This window comes from Homo sapiens, chromosome 19, assembly GCF_000001405.40.
Source record: "Homo sapiens chromosome 19, GRCh38.p14 Primary Assembly".
NCBI lineage: Eukaryota > Metazoa > Chordata > Mammalia > Primates > Hominidae > Homo > Homo sapiens.
This window is the reverse complement of record NC_000019.10, coordinates 29,852,378-29,877,419: the sequence shown is the minus strand read 5'-3', so window position 1 is coordinate 29,877,419 and position 25,042 is coordinate 29,852,378. Positions and strand designations below refer to the sequence as shown.

Sequence of the window (25,042 nt, the reverse complement as noted above, 5' to 3'; positions counted from 1 at the left end):
TAGGAGGCTGAGGTAGGAGGATCTTTTGAGTCCAGAAGTTAGAGGCTGCAGTGAGCCATGATAGTGCCACTGTACTCCAACCTGGGTGACAGAGCAAGGCTGTCTCAAAAAAAAAAAAAAAAAGCTGGGCCCAGTGGCTCACACCTGTAATCCCAGCACTTTGGGAGACCAAGGTGGCTGCATCACTTGAGGTCAGGAGTTTGAGACTACCCTGGCCAATGTGGTGAAACCACATCTCTACTAAAAAAAAAAAAAAAAAAAAATTAGCCAGGGATGGTGCTCGTGGCCCATGCCTGTAGTCCCTACTACTCCAGAGCCTGAGGTAGTAGGATCGGTTGCTTGAATCTGGGAGGTAGAGGTTGCAGTGAAATCACACCACTGTACTCCAGCCTGGGTGACAGAGCAAGACTCCATCTCAAAAAAAAAAAAAAAAAAAAAGTCTAGCCCGGAGCCCAAGCAGGGTGGCCCTGGATGCATTCTGTCCGATGACTGAATGAATGGATCATGGGTCCCCACCCATGTCAGGACTGTATGCTCCGGACACAGGCACCCCAAATCATTTCTGACGCTGGGTGCACAGTTGGAGCTCTCAATAAGGGCTTGATGCTGGCCAGAGGGGCTGAAGAGAGGAGGGGACTAACTCCCCCTCCCTAATTCTAGGCCAAGGCAGGAGAAGGATGAAAAGACTCCGAGGAGGAAGTCCTTGAAGTGATGAAATGAAAGTAATCCTGATTGGCTTCACTTAGAGTAGTTCAGAGGAGGAAGAGCAGAGAATCAAATGAAGCCCGTCCCCAGGTCCCCAGGGCTCAGCTGCTCTCCTTCCTCTAGCAACACAACAACGGTGTAGAGTGCGTGGGGGCCCCACTGCCACTGGACCACTTGGGAGAGGTGAATGGTACTCACCTCGCCTCTTCTGCAGCAGAGAAGTGGGGAGGATATATCAAGAGGAAAACAGAGAGGAGAGTCAATGAGAGACGGAGGTGATGAAACATGAGAAAGAAAGAGAAATGGTACTTAGCACAGGAGACACAGAAGGAGGCTGGAGAGGTGGAGCGGGTTCAAAAAAGAGAGAGGAGCTGGTAGTCTCCCCTCTGCCCTGCACACCCCCTTCACCCTCCTCCACTGGCTCTGTGTACCCCTCCACAGACTCTATCTGTGGATGCCTCGCTCTGCCTTCTGGGCAGGTGGACCTGGGAGGCCCTAGCAGGAAACTGGGGGGCAGAGGAGAGCACCTAGAGTGGGGGTTCCCTGAGCTCCTCCTCCTTCTTCGGTCACCACTGCTATCAGGGAGTGCTGCCTACACAGCCACCTTGCCCTGCGTCAGAGAACGCCTCCTCACGTAGCCCTGCGGCCCCAGGGATGGGAACAGCCCACTGCTACTAGACCCAGGGTACCACTCCTCCTCCTGAGGTCCCCCATGCAAACAGTTATTTATAAAACTCCGCCTGGATGGCCAGATTGAGCAATCCACCCAATGGGTCCTGGATGATACAGGGGCATTTGGGGCTTTTAATCCCCAGGAACGGAAGAACCCCTCTATGGAGGAGAGAGGCCCGTGCCTCTGATTTGAGAGGGTGTCCTCACTTCAGAGGTCACGGAGCATCCCCTGGAGTGGAGCACGGCCTCTTTTGGAAGGCAGCAGCCAGCACAGACTTCTTAGAAGGCCCTGCCCTCTGCTGAGTACCTATGAATGGCTGTTTGTTTTCTGTTGTTGTTTTTTTATTTGTTTGTTTTTGTTTTGTTGTTGTTGTTTTTGAGATAGTCTCACTGTTTCACCCAGGCTGGAGTTTAGTGGTGCAATCTCGGCTCACTGCAACCTCTGCCCCCTGGGTTCAAGCAATTCCCCTGCCTCAGTCTCCTGAGTATCTGGGATTACAGGCGCCCACCACCACGCCCGGCTAATTATTGTATTTTTAGTAGAGATGGGGTTTCACCATGTTGCCCAGGCTGGTCTGGAACTCCTGACCTCAGGTAATCCACCCACCTCGGTCTCCCAAAGTGTTGGGATTTTAGGCATGAGCCACTGCGCCCAGCCGCGAATGGCTATTTGATGAGTGAGTCCCAGGCTCAGCTGCAGCTGTCTTCAGAGGACAACCCTTAAGATAAATAAATAAAGCCTCCCCTGACTGTGCATGCCCATGTCCAGACTCCCAGCTCTATTTTTAGAATGTAGGACAACTTTCTCCCGGAATAGACAAGACACGCTAATCCAGGAGGGAGGCCTGGAGAGATGAAGACGTCGAGTCCAGATATGAATTAGTCGTGAGTATATTATTTGAAGAAATGTTGAACAGCTAGGCAAATATTTGATACCTTTGAATTGGAGCTGGCGTTTTCACAGGCAGAGTGCTGGCAGCTGCTGAGACATCCCCCTTACTGGTGGCATACCTTGCTGTCACACCCGGTGCTGCAGGCCACCTCTGTGGTACACTGAGAAGTAATTAAAGTTGCATGCCTGCTGGAATCCTCCGCAGCCATGCACCAAGCCTGGGTCTCCGGGACAGTGCTTGGCATGTGAGTGGATCCAAATCGCCTTTTCTTTTTTAAAAGAAATATTTATTTTCCTTAAACATACCATCATCTTATTAAAAGAATGAAGTTTCTGCCTCAGTGGGGCTCCTATTTTTGGAAAGAAAACATGATCTGTGGTTTGGACTCTCTAGTCTGTGATCGTGCGGAGGGGGTTCCCAGGAAAGACACCCGCCTTCCCTTGGCTCAGGAAACAGGCCTTGCCTATAAGGCAGGAGGATATGGGGGGAGACCTCAAGGTTTGGGGGCAGCTGTGGGAGTCTCTGCACACTGGCAGAGAATTAACTAACCTCTTGGAGCTTAGAGGGAAAACCCCGGGGAACAATGATGTCGGGGGCACGGTCAGCAGAGTGGCCGAGCCATCTGTACACCAGGTACCTCATCCGGGAGTGGGGGCTGGCATTGGCATCCCCAGTTTACAGAGGGGGAAACAGAAAATCCGCGATATGGCCAACACCAGTGATGTCAGAGCCGAGCCAGGGCATGACGGAGCGAGTATGGGAAGCAGTTTGCAGACCACCCCATGGGGTTTACAACAGCAAAAGCTAATACTCTTCGAGCTCTTGCCTGGGCCTGGGGCTCTACCTGCCTCGCTCAGTCCCCTGTCCCCAGGCTCAGAGGATTCTGGCCCCCCCCCCGGTGACAGTCCCCTCCCCCTCCCCCCTCGCCCCGAGCCTACAGCCCGTTCTGCAGGGGTCATGCCTTGCTCTTGACGATCAGGGCGATCTGCAGGTGCTCCTGGTGGGAGCCTGGCCCGCCCTCCCCTTTTCTGCACCCCCTCCAGGACCCGCAGCCAGCCAGCTCTGAGGTTAATTCTGTGACAGTGTGCAAATACGGCTGCCGCCAAATCGCAGCCTCGTGCCCGCAGCCTCGCGCCTCAGGGGTAAGGCCTGATTTCTGAGCTAAGGGAACCTGGGAGCCTTGCGAAGCCTCCACAAGGCACGCACTTCCATGAACCCCATTTTAGAGATGAGAAAACCGAGTTAGAGAGGGACGCACGTCACCCCCTGGGCACGGCACCGGCCACCGCGCGCTGGCTCCCAGGAGACGTGGGGCTCGGTTTCTGCTGGGAGAAGCCGAGCAAAGCCAGAGGCTGTTGGGGACTTCCCGGGAGAGCGGCGCGGGCGCGGGGGCGCGGGGGCGCTGGGTGGGGGTCTGAGCACCAGCCTGGCCAGGCTTCCCCGCTCCGCAGATGCCCGGGCGCCGCCACCAGATGGCAGCAGACGCTTTGCGATCGAGCGGCCGGGAGGGCGCGGGGCCGGGTCGGAGCGGGGTCAGGGGAGCCCACCCGCCGCGCGGCTCGGTCTCAGGGCCGCCTCCTCCCTCCGCTCCCCCGGGCTGCGCCACCCAGGCCTCCAGGAGCCCGCCAGAGCAGCACCCCGCCCGCCCTCGGGCAGCCACCTCACGCTGCTCAGGAAGGACTGATTGGCTTGGGCCGGAGCCGGGTCCCCCAGCCATCGACCCCGCGGGGAGGGCGCGGAGCGGGCGGGGACTGTGGCTGGGGAGGCCGCGGAGACCCCTCGGACCAGCCCAGCTCACCCCCGCTACGAGACGGGCCGTCACCCACGCGAGCCCTGAGGATGCTGACCTGGAGTGGCGGCAGAGGGCAGAGCGCGACCCTGCCCTGTGTCCCCGCGGCAAGGCCCGCGCTGGGCCCCGCCGAGCTCCACCACGCCCGACGACGCTCAGAACCCGGCCTGCAGTGCTGGATGCGAGGGGTTTGGGCGAGCATGGGTGCAGGCCCCGTGGGCAAGTCAGGGCGCCTCTGAGCTGGCCCTGGCTGGGTGTTGGAGGTGAAGGCTGCAGAATGGGGGAGGGTGGCCAGGCTCCCACCTCGGGGAGATCACCTGGCCCGTCAAGGGCAACGCATTGCACGGGGGCACAAAGATGGACCAGCGGACACTGGGGACTACCACGGGGTGTGGGCGAAGCAAGGGCTGAAAAACCACCTACTGGGTTCCATGCTCACTATCTAGGTAACGGGATCATTCGTACCCCAAACCTCACAGTACACCCGTGTAACAAATCTGCACGTGTAACCCCCCCCCCCCCAACGAATCCAAAATCAAAGTGGAAATTATTATTACTATTTTAAAGAGCAATTCAGGACGGGCGCAGAACAGGATGGAGGTTCGAGTGGGGGTGGAGGGCCATGACCCGGGAGCTGGAATATTCTGCGCCAGGGGACGGGGGCTGAGAGTTGAGGGTGCCCGGGGACCTCTAGAGGGACCCTGCACTACACAGATCGGGACACTGCAGCCAGGAGCAGCCGCGGGCACCCGGGCGTCAAGGGGGAGGTGGAGGCAAGCACTGGGAAAGCGGAGGAGGCGGCTCCATCGTAGCCTTCAAGAAGCTAAAAATAAAGTGCCTCGCGGTGGACGCTGTACAGCCCACTAAAAAGAATGACCTCCTCGGCCCGCGCCATAAAAAGCCCACCTGGCCGTGCGCTCCTGCGCGCAGCCCCGAAGCTCTCCGCTGCCCCTTGGCCTGGAGTCAGGCTGCCTACGGGCGGGAGGGCTGGGCTGCCCGCCTCAGGCTCATCAGCGAAGGCACCCGCGGGCGGGGAGCAGGGGCTGCACTGCCCCCGCTTGGGCGCCTACTGTATGCACATTGCAGTTCCACGCATTTATTCACAAGTCCTTAGAAAGGGTAAAAACAATGAAATAAAACAAAATGCAATGAAGAGAAGTAAAACAATAAAAAATTAAAAGACAGTGTTGTGGTGTGGAATGAAACCTCGAGTTCCATTCCTGGCTGTCATTCCTCTCTGGGCTGGGTCACGGGGATTTTTGTTTGTTTGTTTTGTTTTTGTTTTTGTTTTGAGACAGGGTCTCACTATGTCGCCCAGGAGGGAGTGCAGTGGTGTAATCTCGGCTCCCTGCAACCTCCACCTCCCGGGTTCAAGCGATTCTCATGCCTCAGCCTCCTGAGTAGTAGCTGGGATTACAGGCGCGCGCCACCATGCCCAGCTAATTTTTATATCACGCGTGGCTAATTTTTTTTTTTTTTTTAAGACAGAGTCTCACTCTGTTGCCCAGGCTGGAGTGCAGTGGCGCCATCTCGGCTCACTGCAACCTCCGCCTCCCAGGTTCAAGCTTAATTTTTATATTTGCAGTACAGACGGGATTTCGCCATGTTGGCCAGGCTGGTCTCGAACTCCTGGCCACAAGCAATGCGCCTGCCTCGGCCTCTCAAAGTGCTGGGATTACAGGCATGAGCTACCGTGTTTGGCCGGATCCTTCATTAAACGGGAATATGAATGCTTGCTGCAGACATTTAAAAGGAAGGAAACACGGGGCAGGGTGTGGACTAAGACCTACCAGCTTTTTCTCAGGGTCTCAGGCCCAGGGCCTTACTGCCTTTATTTTATTTTATGTTATATTTTCTCACTGTGTTTGTTCTTTACTTTGTATTGTGTTTCATTGTTTTTGCTCTTTCTTTTCCTAAGAACCTGACCCTAATGCTGACCTGAGCCCTGCACATTCCTGCTCTGTGGTCTGTAAGTCCTGAACACACTGTGAGCACGTAGTTGGAGGGGGGGGGGCTCTCTATCAGATCTTCTGATCTGCCCCTTGCCCCAGAAAGAACCCTCCCTGCTCACAAGGCTGGCTCCACTTCCTGGGCCTCCTTGACCTTAATAAACAAAGGCCTTCTACAAGCTGATAACAAAAAGGCAAACAACACCGTGGAAAAATGGGCCAAGATAGGAGGAGGCAATTCACAGAAGAGGAGCTCCAGACATCCTACAAGCATGTGCAAAGATCCTCAGCCTCTCAAAGTGTCAGGAACATTCCTGCCAGAACAGTACCTGTGACTATGACAAAAATTCAAAAGAACACTAGCATTTAAGGTGGATGAGGTTGTGGGGAAGTGGACACCTATCCTGGTCATTGCTGGTGGGATGACAAATTGTTACATGTTTTGCAAAGTAACTATAATTTTAATTACAATTAAAAATGTCTGTGAGGCCAAGCATGGTGGCTCACATCTGTAATTCCAGCATTTTGGGAGGCCTAGGTGGGTGGATCACGTGAGGTCAGGAGCTCAAGACCAGCCTGGCCAACATGGTGAAACCCCATCTCTACTAAAAATACAAAAATTAGCCGGGCGTGGTGGCAGATGCCTGTAATCCCAGCTACTGGGGAGGCTGAGACAAGAGAATTGCTTGATCCCAGGAGGCAGAGGTTGCAGTGAGCCGAGATGGTGCCACTGCACTCCAGACTGAGCCACAGAGTAAGACTCTGTCTCAGAAAAAAAAAAATTCTTCTCCTTAATTCCTTTTTTGATCCACATGTCAAGAAATAGTTGAGGCTGGGCGCAGTGGCTCATGCCTGTAATCCCAACACTTTGGGAGGCCGAGACGGGCAGATCACGAGGTCAGAACGAGACCATCCTGGCTAGCACAGTGAAACCCCGTCTCTACTAAAAATACAAAAAATTAGCTGGGCGTGGTGGCGGACGCCTGTAGTCCCAGCTACTCGGGAGACTGAGGCAGGGGAATCGCTTGAACCCAGGAGGTGGAGGTTGCAGTGAGCCGAGATTGCGCCACTGCACTCCAGCCTGGGTGACAGAGCGAGACTCTGTCTCAAAAAAAAAAAAAAAAAAAAAGAAAAAAAGAAATGGTTGAATTTCCAAGTAAGTATTACGGGTTTGTTTTCCTCAATGATTCTTGAGGGGAGCAGGCAGGGGCAGTGGGAGGGCCGGGGGGTGGGGGTGGGGGTTGGATTTTTTTTTTTTTCCCCCGAGACGGAGTCTCCCTCTGTCGCCCAGGCTGGAGTGCAATAATAGTGCGATCTCGGCTCACTGCAAGCTCCACCTCCCGGGTTCATGCCAGTTTCCTGCCTCAGCCTCCCGAGTAGCTGGGGCTATAGGCACCCGCCACCATGTCCGGCTAATTTTTTGTGTGTTTTTAGTAGAGACGGGGTTTCACCGCGTTAGGGATTTTTTTTTTAATTGTTGCTTTCTGTTTTCACTAGGATATGATCAGAGAAGATAACAGGTAGAATTTTTTTTTTTTTTTTTTGGTCTTGATTCCCTGAGATCCTCCCGCCTTGGCCACCAAAGTGCTGGCATTACAGGTGTGAGCCACTGCGCCCGGCCTCCTACAGAGGCCTTTCTACAGAAATCTACTACTTTCTGAAAGAGATACAAGTCATCATCATTATCCAAAAATAATTGTATTAGAGGAAAAAGAAAAAACACTTTAGCGTGAATCCACTTGGGGGAGGGCAAAATTTCATGCATAATGTTATACCGAGACATGAAACCAAGTAGTACAAAAAAGACATTTACTTTATCTAATATTTACTGAAATTTAGGTTATAATTGCAACAATGTCATTTTTAAGACAAATATAAATCCAGTGTACTTTCCCATAGGTATGTTATACTTGAATAAAAAGTTTGCTTAGAAATAATAAATCTAATGTTGACTTTTTGAAAGTATAATTTTTCTAATAAAATTGTGTGATATCATGACAAGACACCCTTCACTTCACATCTGACTTCTGCAATACTACTGTGTTTTGCAAAAGGTAATTGATGGCTTCAGCTATCGTCCTAAGGGCCTCTCTTAATCCTTTGCTATTTGTATCAGTCAGGGTTGCATTTGACAGAAACCCAATTTAGCAACTTTAACAAGCTAGGAGCTTATTTTTCTTATATGACAAAAAAAATCCAAAGGCAAACAGATGGGCTGGTGCCATTGCACACGAAAAACATCACAGATGTGGCCCTTCTGGCCCCCGCTTCACCCTCCTGAAGGTTTCCTATTTGCTTTCTCAAGGTAGCAGCTGCACCTCTAGGAATCTCATCCACATTCCAGTTCAAAGGGGGCATGACTCAAGGCAAAAAGGTTTGAGCCACCTTAGTCTGCCCCTTATTTATCGGGAAAGCAATAACTTTCACAGAAGCCCCACAAGTAGAATTTTTCATGTTACGTTGGCCGAAACACCATCACACGACTACCCCTAGCTGCAGAAGAGTCTGGGAGGAGAGGATTTTTAGCTGAGTACATTACCACCCTAGGCAAAACTGGGTTCATGTCAGTGAAAACAGAATGAATATTGGGTAACAGTTGACAACTTCTGTCACAATAATCAAACCATTTATTTTTATTTATGTACTGAGACAAGCTCTCACTATGTTGCCCACGCTGGTCTTGAACTCGTGGCCTCAAGCAATCCTCCCACCTTGGCCTTTCAAAGTGTTGGGATTACAGGTATGAGCCACCAGCACCTCACCCAATATTGCTCTTTCATAAAATCCTTTTTTTTTTTTTTTTCAAAATGTGTAGTTTCACTTTGTAATTGACTTGAATTATATTGTACTATGGGGTATTTCTACGATTATTGAGAGGCTGACCATCAAAAATGCTGATGCATTTGTCCAGGATAAATGCTAACAGTGAACTGGGAGGAATGGTTGAGTGAATAATAATTTTATAAAAGCTCAATTCATTAGTAACTGGATTCAAGTCACGACTTAACTAAGAATCATAATCATAGCTGTGAAAATTTGGGCAAATTACTCAACCTTCCTGTGCTTCTATTTCCTCATTTGCAAAATGGGAATGGTTTCTCAGTTGTCTAGTTCTGCAAAAGAAACCAGTTCAAAAATTTTAAACAAAAACCATTTTGTTTTCTCACAATTCTGTGTGTGGCAGTTTGGTGTGGGCTCAGCTGGATGGCTCTTCTGCTGATCTTGTCCTTGGTTACTAATGCAGCTATAGTTATCCAGCAACTCAGCTGGGACCAGATGTTCTAAGATGCCTCACCCACATGTCTGATGATGGGTGTTTGGCTACAGGTCTTCAGCAGCCCAGCCCAGGCTTCTTCACACGATGGTGGAAGTGTTCCAAGAGACCAAGAGTGGAAGCTGTGCAGTGTCTTGAGGGCTAACTCACAAGTAAAAAAAAAGTAATTTCCACAACATCCCATTGTCAAAGCAAGTTGCAAAGCCAGACCAGATTCATGGATATAAAAATAGATTCTCTTTGGGAGGCTGAGGGGGCTGGATTGCCTGAGTTCAGGAGTTTGAGACCAGCTTGGGTAACATGGCGAAACCCTGTCTCTTACAAAAATATGAAAAATTAGGTAGGCTTGGTGGTTCGCACCTGTAGTCCCCACTACTGAGAGGCTGAGGTGGGAGGACCACTTGAGCCTGGGAGGAGGAAGTTGCAGTGAGCCGAGACTGAGCCACTGCACTTCAACCTGGGTGACAGAATGAGACCCCATCTCAAAAAAAGAAATAAAAATAGGCCGGGTACAGTGGCTCACGCCACAGCACTTAGGGAGGCTGAGGTGGATGGATCACCTGAGATCAGGAGTTGGAGACCAGCCTGGCCAACTCGGCAAAAACCCATCTCTACTAAAAATACAAAAAAAATTAGCCGGGCATGGTGGTGTGGTGTGCACCTGTAGTCACAGCTACTTGGGAGGCTAAGGCAGGAGAATCACTCCAACCTGGGAGGCAGAGGTTGCAGTGAGCTGAGATCACATCACTGCACTCCAGCCTGGGCAATAGAGTGAGACACCATCTCAAAAAAAAAAAAAAATACATTCTGCCTCTTAAAAGAGGAATTGATAAAGTCACATTGCAAAAGTTTGTATATACAAGGATGGAAGAAATTATTATAGTCATCTTGGCTAACAGATAGTAATAAATCATGACATATAATTTGTGGTAAGGACCAAAAGGGTTAGTACATGTAAAGTACTTAGAACCTTGGCTGGCGCATCATAGGAGCTTAACGTTTGTTATTTCTTATTATCATTATTGTTGCTGCTGTAATTGTACCAGGAATACTTTTGTTTTTCAAAGCAGTCTTATAATTACAGGGACTTGAATAATAGATACTCAGATAATTAGTCCTTTGTATTAAAATACCTTCTATTATAATTATATTTTTACCATGTTCTCTGTGTATTCCTGGGAGTTTTGCTTTATGTGTTTGGCTACCACATTATTTGGTACATACATGTTTCTGAAGACTTTAGTTTCTCTGTGAATTGCACTTCCATGTTTCATAATCTCCTTCTCTGCTCAGGACCTCGCCCCTTGGATTCCATGTTGATTCATCTTCATACTGCCACTATGCTTCTTTTTTTGTCTGCATTTTTCCATTAACTCCTTGCTCAACAATTAATTTTCAACTTTTCATTGTGTCTTTATTTTAAATGTGCCTCATATAAACAGCATCTACTTGAATTTTCTTTTTTTCCAATTTGATAGGAAAATTCATAATTTATAATGATAGATGATATATAATGGGTTTAACCTCTTCCATCTTATTGTGTGTTTACTGATTTTATTACATTTTTCTGGTTTATGCTTACTAAATTATTGTTATTTTCCCTTTCCCATTTACTTTTCTTTGATGGTTGGCTCAGGTTTTTCATCATTCTTTACCCGTATTAATTCAGAAATTCCACAATACTTTTCATTTCCTTTAATGGGTACCTCTCCACTGTTAACATAGAAATTTGTGTTTCTTTACAGATTGTATTATTTATCTATGGCAGGGTAACAAATTACCCCAAAACTTAGCAGTTTACAACAAGAGATGTTTGTTATCTGACAGTTTCTACGGGTCAGGTCCAGGAGCAGCTCTGCTAAATGGTCCCAGCTCAAGGTTTCTCAGGAGGCTGTAACCGGGTGTCGGCCAAGGCTGCAGCCCTCTGAGGCTGGGCTGAGGCTGCAGGATCCTCTTTGAAGCTCATTCATGTGGCTGTTGGCAGGAGACTTCTGTTCCTTGTCCCAAGGGCATCTATGGGGCTGTTCACAACACAGCTTCCCTCACATCAAGTGATGAGAGACAGAGGAACTCCTCGTACCGTTTATGCTTTAACCTCAGTCACATCCTGTCACTCTCTTAGATTCTCTTGGTTAGAAGTGGGTCACTAGGTCTGTCCCACACTACCAGGGAGGGAAATTAAGGTCCATGATCCACATCTTGAAGGGACGATCATCAAAGGGTTTGTGGACTTATTTTTTTTTTTTTTTTGAGATGGAGTCTGGATATATTGCCCAGGCTGGAGTGTAATGGCGAGATCTCGGCTCATTGCAATCTCCACCTCCAGGGTTCAAGCGATTCTCCTGTCTCAGCCTCCCAAGTAGCTGGGATTAAAGGCACCTGCCACTAGGCCAATTTTTGTATTTTTAGTAGAGATGGGATTTCACCATGTCAGCCAGGCTGGTCTCAAACTCCTGACCTCAAGTGATCCGCCTGCCTCAGCTTCCCAAAGTGCTGGGATTACAGATGTGAGCCACCGTGCCTGGCCCAGTGTATCTGTTTTTGGCTGTAGTATTTATTTAGCATTTTCCCCAGAGAGGATATAAGTCTTTGCATACTTTAAAATCTCTTCCAGCTTTGGCAACACAGTGAGACCCGTCTTTACAAAAAAAAAAAAAAAATTAAAATAATGAGTGGGGCACAGTGGCACATACCTGTGTTCCCAGCTACTTGGGAGGCTAAGGTGGGAGGATTGCTCAAGCCCAGCCAGTCTAGGCTGCAGTGAGCCGTGATCACACCAGGCACTCCAGCCTGAGTGACAGAGTGAGACCCTGTCTCAAAACAAATAAAAATAAAAAGAAAAATCTCTTGCCATTGCCCTGATGTATGCATGATATCTCTTGTGGACATAGGATTCCTGGGTCACTGTCCTTGTCCCTGAAGTCACTGTTCCATTCGTCTCCTGACTTCCAGGGTGGCAGATGACAAAGCCAACATCAACGTGATTTTTCTTTCCTTTGTAAGTAACCTTACTTTCTGTCTGGAAGTTCATAATTCAGGAATTACACCAGGGTCTGTTTTAAGTATATGTCTTTTCAATTAATCCTTCCTGGAACTCTATCGGCCCTTTTAATCAAGGCTTTCGCCAGCTTAGAAAATGTTCTTTAATTAGGAGCTGGGTACAGTGGTGTGTGCTTACGGACCCAGCTACTCGGGAAGCTGAGGCAGGAGGATTGCTTGAGCCCAGGAGTTTCAACGCTGTAGTATGCTACAATCACACATGTTAATAGTCATGGAACTCAAGCCTGAACAACATAGCAAGACCCCATCTCTGAAAAAAAAAAAGAAAGGAAGAAAATGCTCTTTGATTAATTATTTGATTATCGTTTTCCCTTTATATCTTTTTTTTCCTTCTCTTTTGCTTTTTTGAATGTTAGATCATCAGGGTTTGTCCTCCAAATCTTTTTCTGGTTTTGCATTGCGGTGAGATTTCCTTCCACCTGAACTCTCATGGTATCAACTTATTTCTCAGCAGTGATCATTCCCTTCCTGGGTTTATCAGTTGAATTTTTAAACAGAGAAGTCGTTTGATTCTTTTGGTTCCTGATAGTCCTCCCCGACCATGCAACTACCAGTTCATCTCTGTCTTACTTTTTTGTGAAAGTTCTTTTCCTTCCTCAGCAGTGCCTGCTGTTTGGAACAGGTTTTGTTTTGTTTTGTATTGTTTTTTGTTTTCTTCCTCCTCCTCATCATCTTCTCCTTCTTCTTCTCCTTCTCCTTCTCCTCCTTCTTCTTTTCCTCTTCCTCTTCTTCCTCTTCTTCTTTTTCTTCTTCTTCTTTTTTTTTTTTTGAGATGGAGTCTCGCTCTGTCGCCCAGGCTGGAGTGCAGTGTCATGATTCGGCTCACTGCAACCTCCATCTCCCGAGTTCAAGCAATTTTCCTGCCTCAGCCTCTGAGTAGCTAGGATTACAGACACAAGCCACCACGCCTGGCTAATTGAGGTTTTTCAGTTTGGACTTCCTCCCTCAGGTTCCTGAGTTTTCTAAGATGGGGTGCAGTTTTCCTGGCTGTCGCATGGCTGGGGGTACCCTGGACAGCCATGTAAATTAGGCTGCTGGCATCTCCTGGCAGTGGCAAACCAGCACCGCAGTTTCAGGCAGCTTCGACTTCAGGGGCTGGCAGGGAGTGAGCTGGCCAACGTGACCCTTCTGCTGAGTGCTGGCAGTGTCCTCTCAGGCCATGCGGGCATGCAGCCCACCAGGTTTCCTGAGGCCAGCAGTGCTACACAGAATGCCAAGTTCCCTTTTCCAGGGGGAGGACAGAGAGGGGCTCCTGCATGGGCGGTTGTGAGGGTGAGCTACTCCTTCCCCAGCACTCCACCGTGAGCTGGCCTCACCCAGCACCCAGCAGGAGGGGAAGGACACTTTCGAGGGGAAATCAAGGAGAAAGGGCCGCACCCCGAACCCCAGGTTTGGTGTGTGCTGGGGTGGAGCCAAGAGGAGACCAGGAATTCTGCAGGGGCTGGAAATCTGGACCAGAGGGTCTGGGCCACATTAGAATTGCCAGGGAGCTTCTTTTTTTAATTTATTTTTTATTTTTATTATTACTATATATATATATATTTTTTTTTTGAGACGGAGTCTCTCTGTTGCCAGGCTAGAGTGCAGTGGTGCGATCTCAGCTCACTGCAACCTCTGCCTCCCGGATTCAAGCGATTCTGCTGCTTCAGCCTCCCGAGTAGCTGGGATTACAGGCGTGTGCCATCACGCCTGGCTAATTTTTGTATTTTTAGTAGAGACGGTGTTTCACCATGTTGGCCAGGATGGTCTCGATATCTTGACCTCGTGATCCGCCTGCCTCAGCCTCCCAAAGTGCTGGGATTACAGGCATGAGCCACTGTACCTGGCCTATTATTACTATTTTTTTTGAGCCAGAATCTCACTCTGTTGCCCAGGCTGGAGTGCAGTGGTGCAATCTCGGCTCGCTGCAACCTCCACCTCCCAAGTTAAAGTGATTCTCCTGCTTCAGCCTCCTGAATAGCTGGGATTACAGGTGCATGCCACCACACCTGGCTAATTTTTGTATCTTTAGTAGAGACAGGATTTCCTCATGTTGACCAGGCTGGTCTCAAACTCCTGACCTCAGTGATCTGCCCATCTCGGCCTCTCAAAGTGCTGGGAGTCTGTGCATTTTTAAATGTAATCAATGTTGCCACGTTGCCCCCCGTGAAGGCTGGTTGTAACAATTTATGCTCCCACCAGCAAGAAAATGGATTCACGAAGTCTTGGATGGTAATGGCCAAAATGCAGGGAATTCCCTGGGCAGCTCAGTAAGTAATTGTGCCCCAAGTCTCTCAGAGTGACTGTCCTGTATACAGTAAGGGCTTTCTTGGTGCTTTCTCCCTGTCCCCTTCAGTCCACACTATATAACTGCCTGCATAGAAATACCCTCCCACCCACTCTCTGCCACAAGGGGAAGGATAAGCAGTGATAGCCCTGGTGCTTCTCTAGACTGTGGAACACACACATTCCTCATGCTTCCTCCCCTCCTGCAGCAGTCCCACCTCCATTTCTAGCACCCAGAGGGCACCCTCTGCAGGGTGAAGTCTCCAGGGTAGAGAAGCTTCCTAGGCAGGGTGTCACTGGACTGGCCAGCTCCCCTCACTCTTCCTGTGGTCAACAGCACCACAGGAACTTTTCCTAGGGAACCACCCCTCTCTCAGTGCTCCTTCCTCCATTTCCCCCTCTGCCTGGCACGTTGCTCAGCTGAGCCAATGCATGTATTCTCCCTGTGGCCACGGTGATTTGTTCAGGAATGGGCACATAACCCAAGTCTATCCAATCAGAGCCTTTCCTGGGACCTTTGTGGGTTTTTTTGTTTTTGTTTTTTGTTTTTTGTTTTGAGATGGAGTTTCACTCTTGTTGCCCAGGCTGGAGTGCAATGGCGCGATCTCAGCTCACTGCAACCTCCGCCTCCCGGGTTCAAGCGATTCTCCTGCCTCAGACTCCCAAGTAGCTGGGATTACAGGCACCTACCACCACGCCCAGCTAATTTTGTATTTCTAGTAGAGATGGGGTTTCACCATGTTGGCCAGGCTGGTCTCGAACTCCTGATCTCAGATGATCCACACGCCTCAGCCTCCCAAAGTGCTGGGATTACAGGCGTGAGCCACCGCGCCTAGCCACCTTTGTGGTTCTATTGGGAAAAAAAACTGCCCTCTTCCACAGGGATTTCTCGCAAGGACAGTGTAAGCCTGGAGCTGCTGGGGCTACAACTGGAAGAACACTTGCAGGATAACGAAGCCAATATAATGAAAAGCAAAGCCCAGGAAGAGGTGGGGTGTGGTGAGGCATGGTGGGGGGAGAGGAAGAGGGAGAGAGAGATGGTGACGTCACCAGAGCCCCAGGATTCAGCAGTTCCAGAAGCACGCTGACCTCATCAGCAGGATAGCAGGTGTCAGAGGGACCCATCCTTCCAGGCTCAGATCCTCCCTTCATTCTGAAGAGCCGAGGACATATTCAAGGAAACCTAAACATACCTTGCTGCCAGGCGTGGTGGCTCACGCCAGTAATCTCAGTACTTTTGGAGGCCGAGGCGGGCAGATCACGAGGTCAGGAGTTTGAGAGCAGCCTGGCCAATATGGTGAAATCCTATCTCTACTAAAAATACAAAAATTAGCTGGGTGTGGTGGCGCGCACCTGTAGTCCCAGCTACTCAGGAGACTGAGGCAGGAGAATTGCTTGAACCCGGGAGGAGGAGGTTGCAGTGAGCTGAGATGGCGCCACTGCACTCCAGCCTAGACGACAGAGCAAGACTCTGTCTCCAAAAAAAAAAAAAAAACAAAAACAAAAACAAAAAAACTTACTGGTAGGAATATGAGCTATGAGCTATTAGATATTAGATTGGTGCAAAAGTAATTGTGGTTTTGGCTGAAAAGTAAATGCACAAAGATTTTGCACTAATCTAACACAAGTATTATTTACAGTTAAATAATTAAAAGTCATTTTATTTGCACATAAGCTACATGACTATAATGGTGGAGTAGGTATTGGTCAGGGCACTTTTGGATACAAGTGATAGAAAACTGATTTCCACTGGCTTAAAGACATAGGGCACTTATTGGTTCACCTGCCCTCCCATAGAAAGATCAGGGTAGGCCCATCTTCAGGAACAGCTGGATGCAGAGATTAGGACACCATGGGACCATCTCTGGGAATATAGTAAGATCCCGTCTGTATAAAAAAAATTAGCCGGGCACAGTGGTGCTTGCCTATAGTCCCAGCTACTCAGGAGGCTGAGGCAAGAGGATCACTGGAGCCCAGGAGGTTGACGCTGCGGTGAGCCATGATTGTGCCACTGCATTCCAGCCTGGGTGACAGAGCAAGTCCAGCTCAAAAAAGTCTTCCCGCCTTTAACTCCAGTTACAAAAATCCTGGAGAAGAATTCTGATTGGTCCAGACTGGGTCACATGTTCACCCCTGTTGTCAAGGCCTGAATCTGTCATCAGAGGCAGGAAGACTGGTACCACACTGCCTCCAGGGGAACCCAGCAGCCAGTCTCAATTGTGTCTACTTGGGGAGGAAAGAGAAAGAGGAGAGGAAAGGGTGGCCATGGGGGGAACTCTATCTCCAGCATAGCAAACCTGGAGTCTAATCAAACAACTGTGGTGGGGTGCGGTTGGTCACACCTGTAATCCCAGCACTTTGGGAGGCCGAGGCAGGCGGATCACTTGAGGCCAGAAGTTGGAGACCAGCCTGGGCAACATGGTGAAACCCCATCTCTACTAAAAATACAAAAATTAGCCAGGCATGGTGGTGCGCGCCTGTAATCCCAGCTACTCAGGAGGCTGAGGCAGGAGAATCGCTTGAGCCCAGGACGCAGAGGTTGCAATGGACCGAGATCGCACCACTGCAATCCAGCCTAGGCAGCAGAGAGAGACCCTGACTCAAAAACAAACAAAACAAAACAAAAGCAAACAAGCAACTTTGCCTAGGACATGAGATGCCCTGAGTCTCGGAATGTGGTATCGGATGGATGGGTACAGTGACTCACACCTGTAATCCCAGTGCTTTGGGAGACCGAGGCAGGCGGATTGCCTGAGTGCAGGAGTTTGAAACCAGCCTGGGCAAATTGAAACCAGCCTGGGCAATATAGTGAGATTTTGTCTCTGAAAAAAAAAGAATTGGGTACCAGAATGGGTATGTTTCCCACCAGGCAGGGGCACTGATAGCACTGTCAGGATGAGGATGGGGACTCGGAGGGAAGCTGGCCTGCCTTGGAATTATGCAAAGTGGAGGCTCACAGTGGCTTTGATGGTGCTTGATTAAATATTTGGCCCATTTAGTTAATTAAATATTTAAATGTTAAATACAGAATCAGATGTTATTTAGTGGACATTACTTCTCAACAGCCATGAGTCATTCAACAGCCCTCTGAATGGGGCCTCTGCAGCCTCAGCCTCCCCTCCCCTACAGGAAGGACTCCAGGAGACACCTGGGGAGTGTAATTAATTAATTACCAATTGAGGTTACACTAGGCTGTGCTGTTTCAGAACACCATGTGTTGGCCGGGGAAGGTGGCTTACCCCTGTAATCCCAGCACTTTGGGAGGCCGATGCAGGCGAATCGCCTGGGGTCAGGAGTTCGAGACCAGCCTGGCCAACATGGTGAAACCCTATCTCTACTAAAAATACAAAAATTAGCCAGGCTTGGTGGCACACATCTGTAATCTGTAATCCTAGCTACTCGGGAGGCTGAAGCAGGAGAATTGCTTGAACCCAGGACATGGAGATTGCAGTGAGCTGAGATCGCACCACTGCACTCCAGCCTGGGCAACAGAATGAGACTTATCTCAAAAAAAAAAAAAAAAAAGAATGTCACAAGTCACTCAGGGGAGCCTCTCCTGCTGGGTCCCAGGGCCAGTTCACAGGCAGGTGGAAGAGGCAAGAGCCCATTTCCTGGGTAGCAAAATCTACCTCAAACCTACATACGCGCACCTGCCGCCTCCTCTGTCTAAAACAGCCCCATGCCCCACATCTCCCCATTGCAGACTGCTTCCTTGTTTTCAGGCCATGTCCCCTCCCCTCGACCTGCCATCTTCCCAGGGGTGTTGGGGGCTCCCTGGCAGCCACAAGGGAACATGCCGCCCCTGTGTGGGGAAGGGCTCCCTGCAAATGGCCAAAGTGTGGTGACCTTCAGCTCCTTTTTGTTTAGTGCTCCGGGACCCTGGGAGGCTCCCTTCCCCACCAAAGCCCCGGGAGCTCAGGAGGGTGGGGTTCCTGGACAGCTTCTCCTGAGGACTGCAAGGTAGGTCGGCTGCCTGCCGAGCCTCGGGCCCGAGGACTTGCAGCTCTTTCCTGGCCAGCACGGTAGGAGGCCCAGGTGTGTGAGTGACAGCGGGTGAGGGGCGATGAGAGGCTAGGCAGTTTGCAGCCATGGCGATCCTTCCGGAGGCCAACTCTGATGGGTTAGAATGGGCTGAGGGCTCCTTACTGCCCTCAAGATAATGTCTAGACTCGGGCTGCCCTGGTCCTGCTGCTCCCAGAGTGCCAAGCATTACCTGGCCTCCCTAGTCCCTCTCCCAAGCCCAACAGTCTGCATTCTAGCCACATCAGCCTCCTGCCAGTTCCTGAAAGCACAGGGTCTGGATTCTCTGGATTTGGGCATATTCCGTTCCCTCTGCCTGAAATCCTTTATTGTCCTGCAGGTCTCACTTAAGATGTCAGCTCCTCCAGGAAGCCCACCTTCCTTTAGCATGGAGCCAAGGATGGGAAGGGGTAGGCAGGCAGTCCCAGGCAGGGGCAGCTGGATGGCCACTAGGCTGCCTCATCCAGCTTCTCAGAATGGCCCAGGGCCTGGAAGCCAGGAGCTCTCTCCAGCCACCTGGGACTCTGTGGTATGTGGACTGGGGGGACGGGCACCCCGGGGGTGGAGGAAGGAGGGTGGCCAGGTGGAAGGCTCAGAACTGCCACCTGCTGGCCACTGAGAGGCGTGGCCTGGAGAGCTCTGAAAGCCGCCGACCTGAGGGATCTCCCAGCCTCTCCCCATTCCCACCTGGACTTCCTGCTGCGCATGGGAAAGGGAAGCCTGGCCACTCCAAAGTTGCCGAAATATTCTTTGACGAGTCAGAAAAAAAATGCCAAAACAAGGTTACAAAAACCATAGCTGGCTGGGCGCGGTAACTCACACCTGTAATTCCGGCACTTTGGGAGGTCGAGGCAGGAGAATCACTTGAGCACTGGAGATCAAAACCATCCTGAGCAACATAGAGAGATCCCTATCTCTACAAATAATTTAAAAATTAGCCAGGGCCAGGCACAGTGGCTCAGGCCGGAACAGTGGTTCACACCTGTAATCCCAGCACTTTGGGAGGCCGAGGCAGGCAGATCACTTGAGGCCAGGAGTTTGACACCAGCCTGGCCAACATGGTGAAACCCTGTCTCTACTAAAAATACAAAAATTAGCTGGGTGTGGTGCATGCCTGTAATCCCAGCTACTCGGGAGACTGAGGCACGATAATTGCTTGAACCACGGAGTCGTAGGTTGCAGTGAGCCGAGATCATGCCACTGCACTCTAGCCTGGGCAACAGAGCAACACTCTGTCTCAAAAAAAAAAAAAATCAGCCTGGCATTGTGGTGCACACCTGTGGTCATGACCACTCAGGAGGCAGAGGTGGGAGGATTGCTTGGGCTCAGGAGGTTAAGGCTGCAGTGAGCTATGATTGCACCACTGCACTCTAACCTGGGTGACAGAGCAAGACCCTGTGTCAAACACAAAAACAAAATACAAAAGAAAACAAAAATAACCGTAGCCTATTTAAAACGAGCAATTTAATGCTTTTTACACCAAAATATATACAACATAATGCAATTACGTTTTTTACAAGATAACTGGAGTTTTTAACCTATAAAAATACTTGGTCGTGGAGCACCACAGGTGCTCTGGGAAGGAGTCACACCACTAAAGTTGTTAAGTAAGCTTAACAGCTTAACAAGGGCATGGTGGCTCATGCCTGTAATCTCAGCACTTTGGGAGGCCAAGGCGGGTGGATCACTTGAGGTCAGGAGTTTGGAACCAGCCTGGCCAACATAGTGAAACCCCGTCTCTACTAAAAATACAAAAAATTAGCTGGGCGTGGTGGCGGGCGCCTGTAATACAAGCTATTCGGGAGGCTGAGGCAGGAATCACTTGAACCTGGGAGGCAGAGGTTGCAGTGAGCCGAGATTGAGCCATTGCACTCCAGCCTGGGCGACAAGAGCAAAACTCCATCTCAAAGAAAAGTAGATAAATAAATAAATAATAAAGTTGTTGAATGGATGTGAGCCTCTCTCCCTCCCCTCTCTGACTCTGTGTAACCTCATTTGGAGAGGATAGTTCCTTTGGGACCCTGAGGCCTGGATCAAGTGGCCCACATGCTCCTTGTATGGATAAGGAAACTGAGGCCTGGAGCAGGGAAGAGGCTAGCCCAAATGGGGCCTTGCAAACCAGGCTGTCCCCTCTCCCTGCAGTTCCTTCCCTCCAGGCTCTGAGGAGCTCTGCACCCTTCTCTGAGCCACCAGCTCTGGCAGGAGCCTGGCCTCCCAGGCTTCAGGGACCGGCCACGGGGCCCCCTCCCTGAGCCGCCCCTTCATCCAGCATCCTCTGCCTGACTTCCCTGCCCTTTATAAATATGCATTGGGCCAGAGAGATAGGGGGCCTCTTTTTGAGGAAAAATTAACCACAATGACAAACTTAGATATTCATGCAAACCATCAGCCTGTTAGACTGATTATGCAGAATGCAAACTGTGAGTATCTGAGTGACTGAGCGGGCTCATCAAAGGCGCCGTCAGGCAGCAGGGGTGCTCCCGGCCTAGCCCACCTTCCCACCGCCTTTGTACTCTCTGCTCAGCCCCGGTGCAGGCCACCGGGCTACTTCCCTCACACAGCACCCGTTTCTGACGCAGGGACCCCTCCACGCTCTATTTTAAAGGATTAATTAACGTTGTAAGATTGGCAGGGAGAGCTCCACCTGGCTATCTGCTGCATGAAAGCATCCGCTCACTAGAGTATTTTAAGCTCACAGTGCAGACCATATGGTATTTCAGAGAACACAAGTTGAAAGTACAGTACATATTTATTCCTTCCACAGAGAGCATTAGAGGGGTTTAAGTATTTTATGAAAGCCTGTATGTGCGGGCATGTGTGTGTGCACGTGCGCGCGCGTGTGTGCATGTGTATGAAGCCAGCAGAAATATACTCCACTCAGAGAAAAAATAAATTACACAGATTTATTTTCATCTCTCTGCCAACCCACCCCATAGCAACAGTGAAAACTTGGTCTATGTAAACTCGAGAAAACAAGAAATATTTTATCAAGTCGTCTCAACTCATGGCTATTGCCAATTCCCCTCTTTCTGGAAACACAAGCAGTCTCCTCATGTCAGTTTTGCAGGCAGAGGGGAGGGAGTGGGGGGCAGGTGTCAGATGAGAGGGGTCAGGCCACGTGGGAAGCCCCAGGCCTGCTTCCCAGGCAGGAAGTGCAGACCCTGTGCCATCGGCTTGGGAAAGGCCCTTCCTCTTTCTAAGCTCAGTTCCCTGTCTGGAACAACATGATCTCTTGGGATAAAATAACTAGATACAAAAGGTAAAGGAAGTGCCTGGCACAGGGCAAGCAACACTCGTGAATCCTGGATCCGGAACTTTGAGAAAAACTTATGTTGTGGAAGTCTGTTGATTTCATCCTCCCAGCATGCATCTCCCTTATCTTGGTAACAGTCCCGCCCTCATCCTTGGGGAAGCCCCCTTCTGTCCAGGTGATTGGGATGGAGTTACCTCTGGCCCTGACTTTAGGGGTGGCCATGACCAGGGCTGGCCAATCAGGGCCCTTCATCTCCCCAGCCTCCGGGACTGGCTCAGGGATGGTCACATGACCGAAGACAGATTAATGAGGCTCAGCCCTGAGACTTTTGCTGGAATTCCTGGGAAAGAGGCTGTCTTTCTCCCAGCAGCCTTGCTAGGCTGGGACCTTAGAGCTTACTGCTAAGCTAGACTTGGGAAAAAAAAAAAACTAGTGATAGAAGAATCTAGGGTAGATGTAGATTCTGTCTAATGGACAACTCCCCTCTCCTAAGCAGGGACAGGAACTGAAGTTCTAAAAAGAAATAAAAATATTAAAGGAAGAAATAAGGTAGAGTAAGGGAAGCTGATCAGGTTCAGCTGCCCAAGGGCCTGACTGTCCTCTCCTGAAAAAGCCACAGGTCTGATCGAATCTGGACAGGAAAGAGCTCTGGGGAATGTCTGGCTGCCCCACCCTTCAACAGCTCCGGCTCTGCCCCAAAACTCCTCTGACAGAGACCTGGGACCTGAGAGAGGCAGGGCCTCAGAAGCGGTGGAGGGGCGCCTACAGCCTTGGAAGGCATCTCCAGCACTGGACTTCCACCCCTTTTTCACAGGGAGAGACTCTTGTCAGGGCAGAAGTTTGTGGCCTCAGAAGTTCGTAAAAAGCACTTAGTGTAAGTGTGCGAGCGAGAACAGACTTTGGAATCTTCTAGACTTCCCTCAACCCCACCATTCTATGCATGAGAAAACTCAGTACCTGGAAGATATAACTACTTTTCATCCAGCCTCTCCCCGATCCCACATCCACCATTTTCAAGGTTTTTCCTTCCTATATGCAGGAGGGAAGATATTTTCAGGCCACAAGATGTAGATGGGAAAATGCACTTTTCTCTACCATTCTATAACTGAAAATTTTACACGATGGCCGAAGAGTCAATCTAGTCAGATGGTGGTTTTCTCAGAAACTTTGAGCTTTGTTCAGTCATTTCAGATTTAAATTCAGCCAGTTTAGACTTTCCTCCCCACCCTCTTCCTCCTTCTGAGTTTCAAGGACTAACAGAGTCATGGCACTGTTGACAGCGTCGTTGCTCAGAGGTCCTGCTCTTGTCATGGTCAACTACCTAATATCTGATCAACCCTTCCGGAGCTAACAGCCACAAATCCGAACAGTAACTGAAGTCCCCAGACAGCAACAAAAAGGCAGATACTGCAGGAGAATCAATACTTAGAAGAGAACAGCACTGGGCAAGTTTCCCTTCTGATGGATCTGAGCCATTCAGGACTACTCCATGCAGGACTCAGATAGAAATTCTTGGGTAGAAAAGTCTTATTGCGCTGGGCACGGTGGCTCACACCTGTAATCCCAGCACTTTGGGAGGCTGAGGCGGGGGGATCACTTGAGCTCAGGAGTTCGAGACCAGCCTGGCCAACATGGTGAAACCCCATCTCTACTAAAAATACAAAAATTAGCCGAACATGATGGCGCGTGCTTGCAATCCCAGCTACCAGGGAGGCTTAGGCAGGAGAATCTCTTGAACCCGGGAGGTGGAGGTTACAGTGAGCTGAAATCGAGCCACTGAACTCCAGCCTGGGTGACAGAGTGAGATTCCATCTCAAAAAAGAAAAAACAAACAAACAAACTTACTGGCTTGAAAAACTAAAGGTCACTGTAATTACAGAAACTAAAAACAAAAAACAAAAACGACTGGCGAAATTTCTAAAAAAAAAAAATAAAAAGAGAGAGAAAAGCCATGCGCAGTGGCTTACGCTTGTAATCCCAGCACTTTGGGAGGCCGAGGCGGGTGGATCACGAGGTCAGGAGTTCAAGACCAGCCTGGCCAACATGGTGAAACTCCGTCTCTACTAAAATTACGAACATTAGCTGGACCTGGTGGAGGGCACCTGTAATCCCAGCTACTCAGGAGGTCAAGGCAGGAGAATCACTTGAACCCAGGAGGCAGAGGTTGCAGTGAGCCGAGATCATGCCACTGCACTCCAGCCTGGGCAACAGAGCTAGACTCCATCTCAAAAAAAAAAAAAGAGCCACAGAAGGGGAGTCCCCAAATCCATGTATAAAATGCACAAATCTCTTGCCAACTCCAGAATCAGGTATGAGTGAGGAAGTCATTAAGCAGCAGTTAAGGCTAAATGAACTTCAGATTTCAACTGTCATCCTCTATAGGGGAGAGAGAGTTTACATGTTAAGTTTAGCCAAGTTAATTGCCTACTTAAACAAAAAAATCAATACTCTTCATATTTAAAAATTGCTATGACAGTAGATCTTAAACGTTCTCACCACACACACACAAAAAAAACGATAAGCATATGAGGTGGTAGATATGTTGATTAACTTGGTGGAATCATTTTACAATGTATACAGATACCGAAACATCATGTTGGGAGCTAAATGATGAGAACTTATGAACACAAAGAAGAAGGAAACAACAGACACTGAGGGGGAGAATGGGAGGCGGGAGAGGAGCAAAAAAAGATAACTATTGGGTACTGGGCTTAATACCTGGGTGATGTAATAATATGTATAATAAACCCCCATTTGTTGTACAATAAACCCTGTTTATCTGTGTAACAAACCTTCACATGTGCCCCCAAACCAAAAATAAAAATTTTTTTAAAAACCCATCATGTTGTAAATATCTATGATTTTTATATATCAACTATACCTTAATAAAGCTGGGGTGGGGGAAGAACCAATACTCTTTAAAGTATAAAGAGTCCAGAGTCTCTGCAACATGTCATGGCAACATCCAGGATAAAATCCAAAATTACCAGACATGTGAAAACAGGAAAACAAGACCCAAACTCCAGAGAAAAGAAAACCAATGGATACGACATAAAAAGTGACCTGTGGTGATGAAACTAGCAGATGGTAACTTTAGGGCAGCTCTCATAACTACACAGATGAATACAAAGGAAACTCTGATCAATATGTATAAAAAGACAA

General features: G+C 49.3%; 4 annotated features.

Moving 5' to 3' along the window:
* Window positions 3,671-4,130: a silencer, noted in NCBI's record as "silent region_10470". NCBI's record gives its function as "represses an Ori minimal core promoter by ATAC-STARR-seq in GM12878 lymphoblastoid cells {active_cell/tissue: GM12878}" and the evidence as "EXISTENCE:reporter gene assay evidence [ECO:0000049][PMID:35858748]".
* Window positions 17,993-18,830: an enhancer, noted in NCBI's record as "H3K4me1 hESC enhancer chr19:30349497-30350334 (GRCh37/hg19 assembly coordinates)". NCBI's record gives its function as "activates a minimal SCP1, AML or CMV promoter by ChIP-STARR-seq in naive H9 embryonic stem cells {active_cell/tissue: H9 hESC(naive)}" and the evidence as "EXISTENCE:reporter gene assay evidence [ECO:0000049][PMID:30033119]".
* Window positions 18,831-19,669: an enhancer, noted in NCBI's record as "H3K4me1 hESC enhancer chr19:30348658-30349496 (GRCh37/hg19 assembly coordinates)". NCBI's record gives its function as "activates a minimal SCP1, AML or CMV promoter by ChIP-STARR-seq in naive H9 embryonic stem cells {active_cell/tissue: H9 hESC(naive)}" and the evidence as "EXISTENCE:reporter gene assay evidence [ECO:0000049][PMID:30033119]".
* Window positions 24,913-25,042: an enhancer, noted in NCBI's record as "active region_14422". NCBI's record gives its function as "activates an Ori minimal core promoter by ATAC-STARR-seq in GM12878 lymphoblastoid cells {active_cell/tissue: GM12878}" and the evidence as "EXISTENCE:reporter gene assay evidence [ECO:0000049][PMID:35858748]".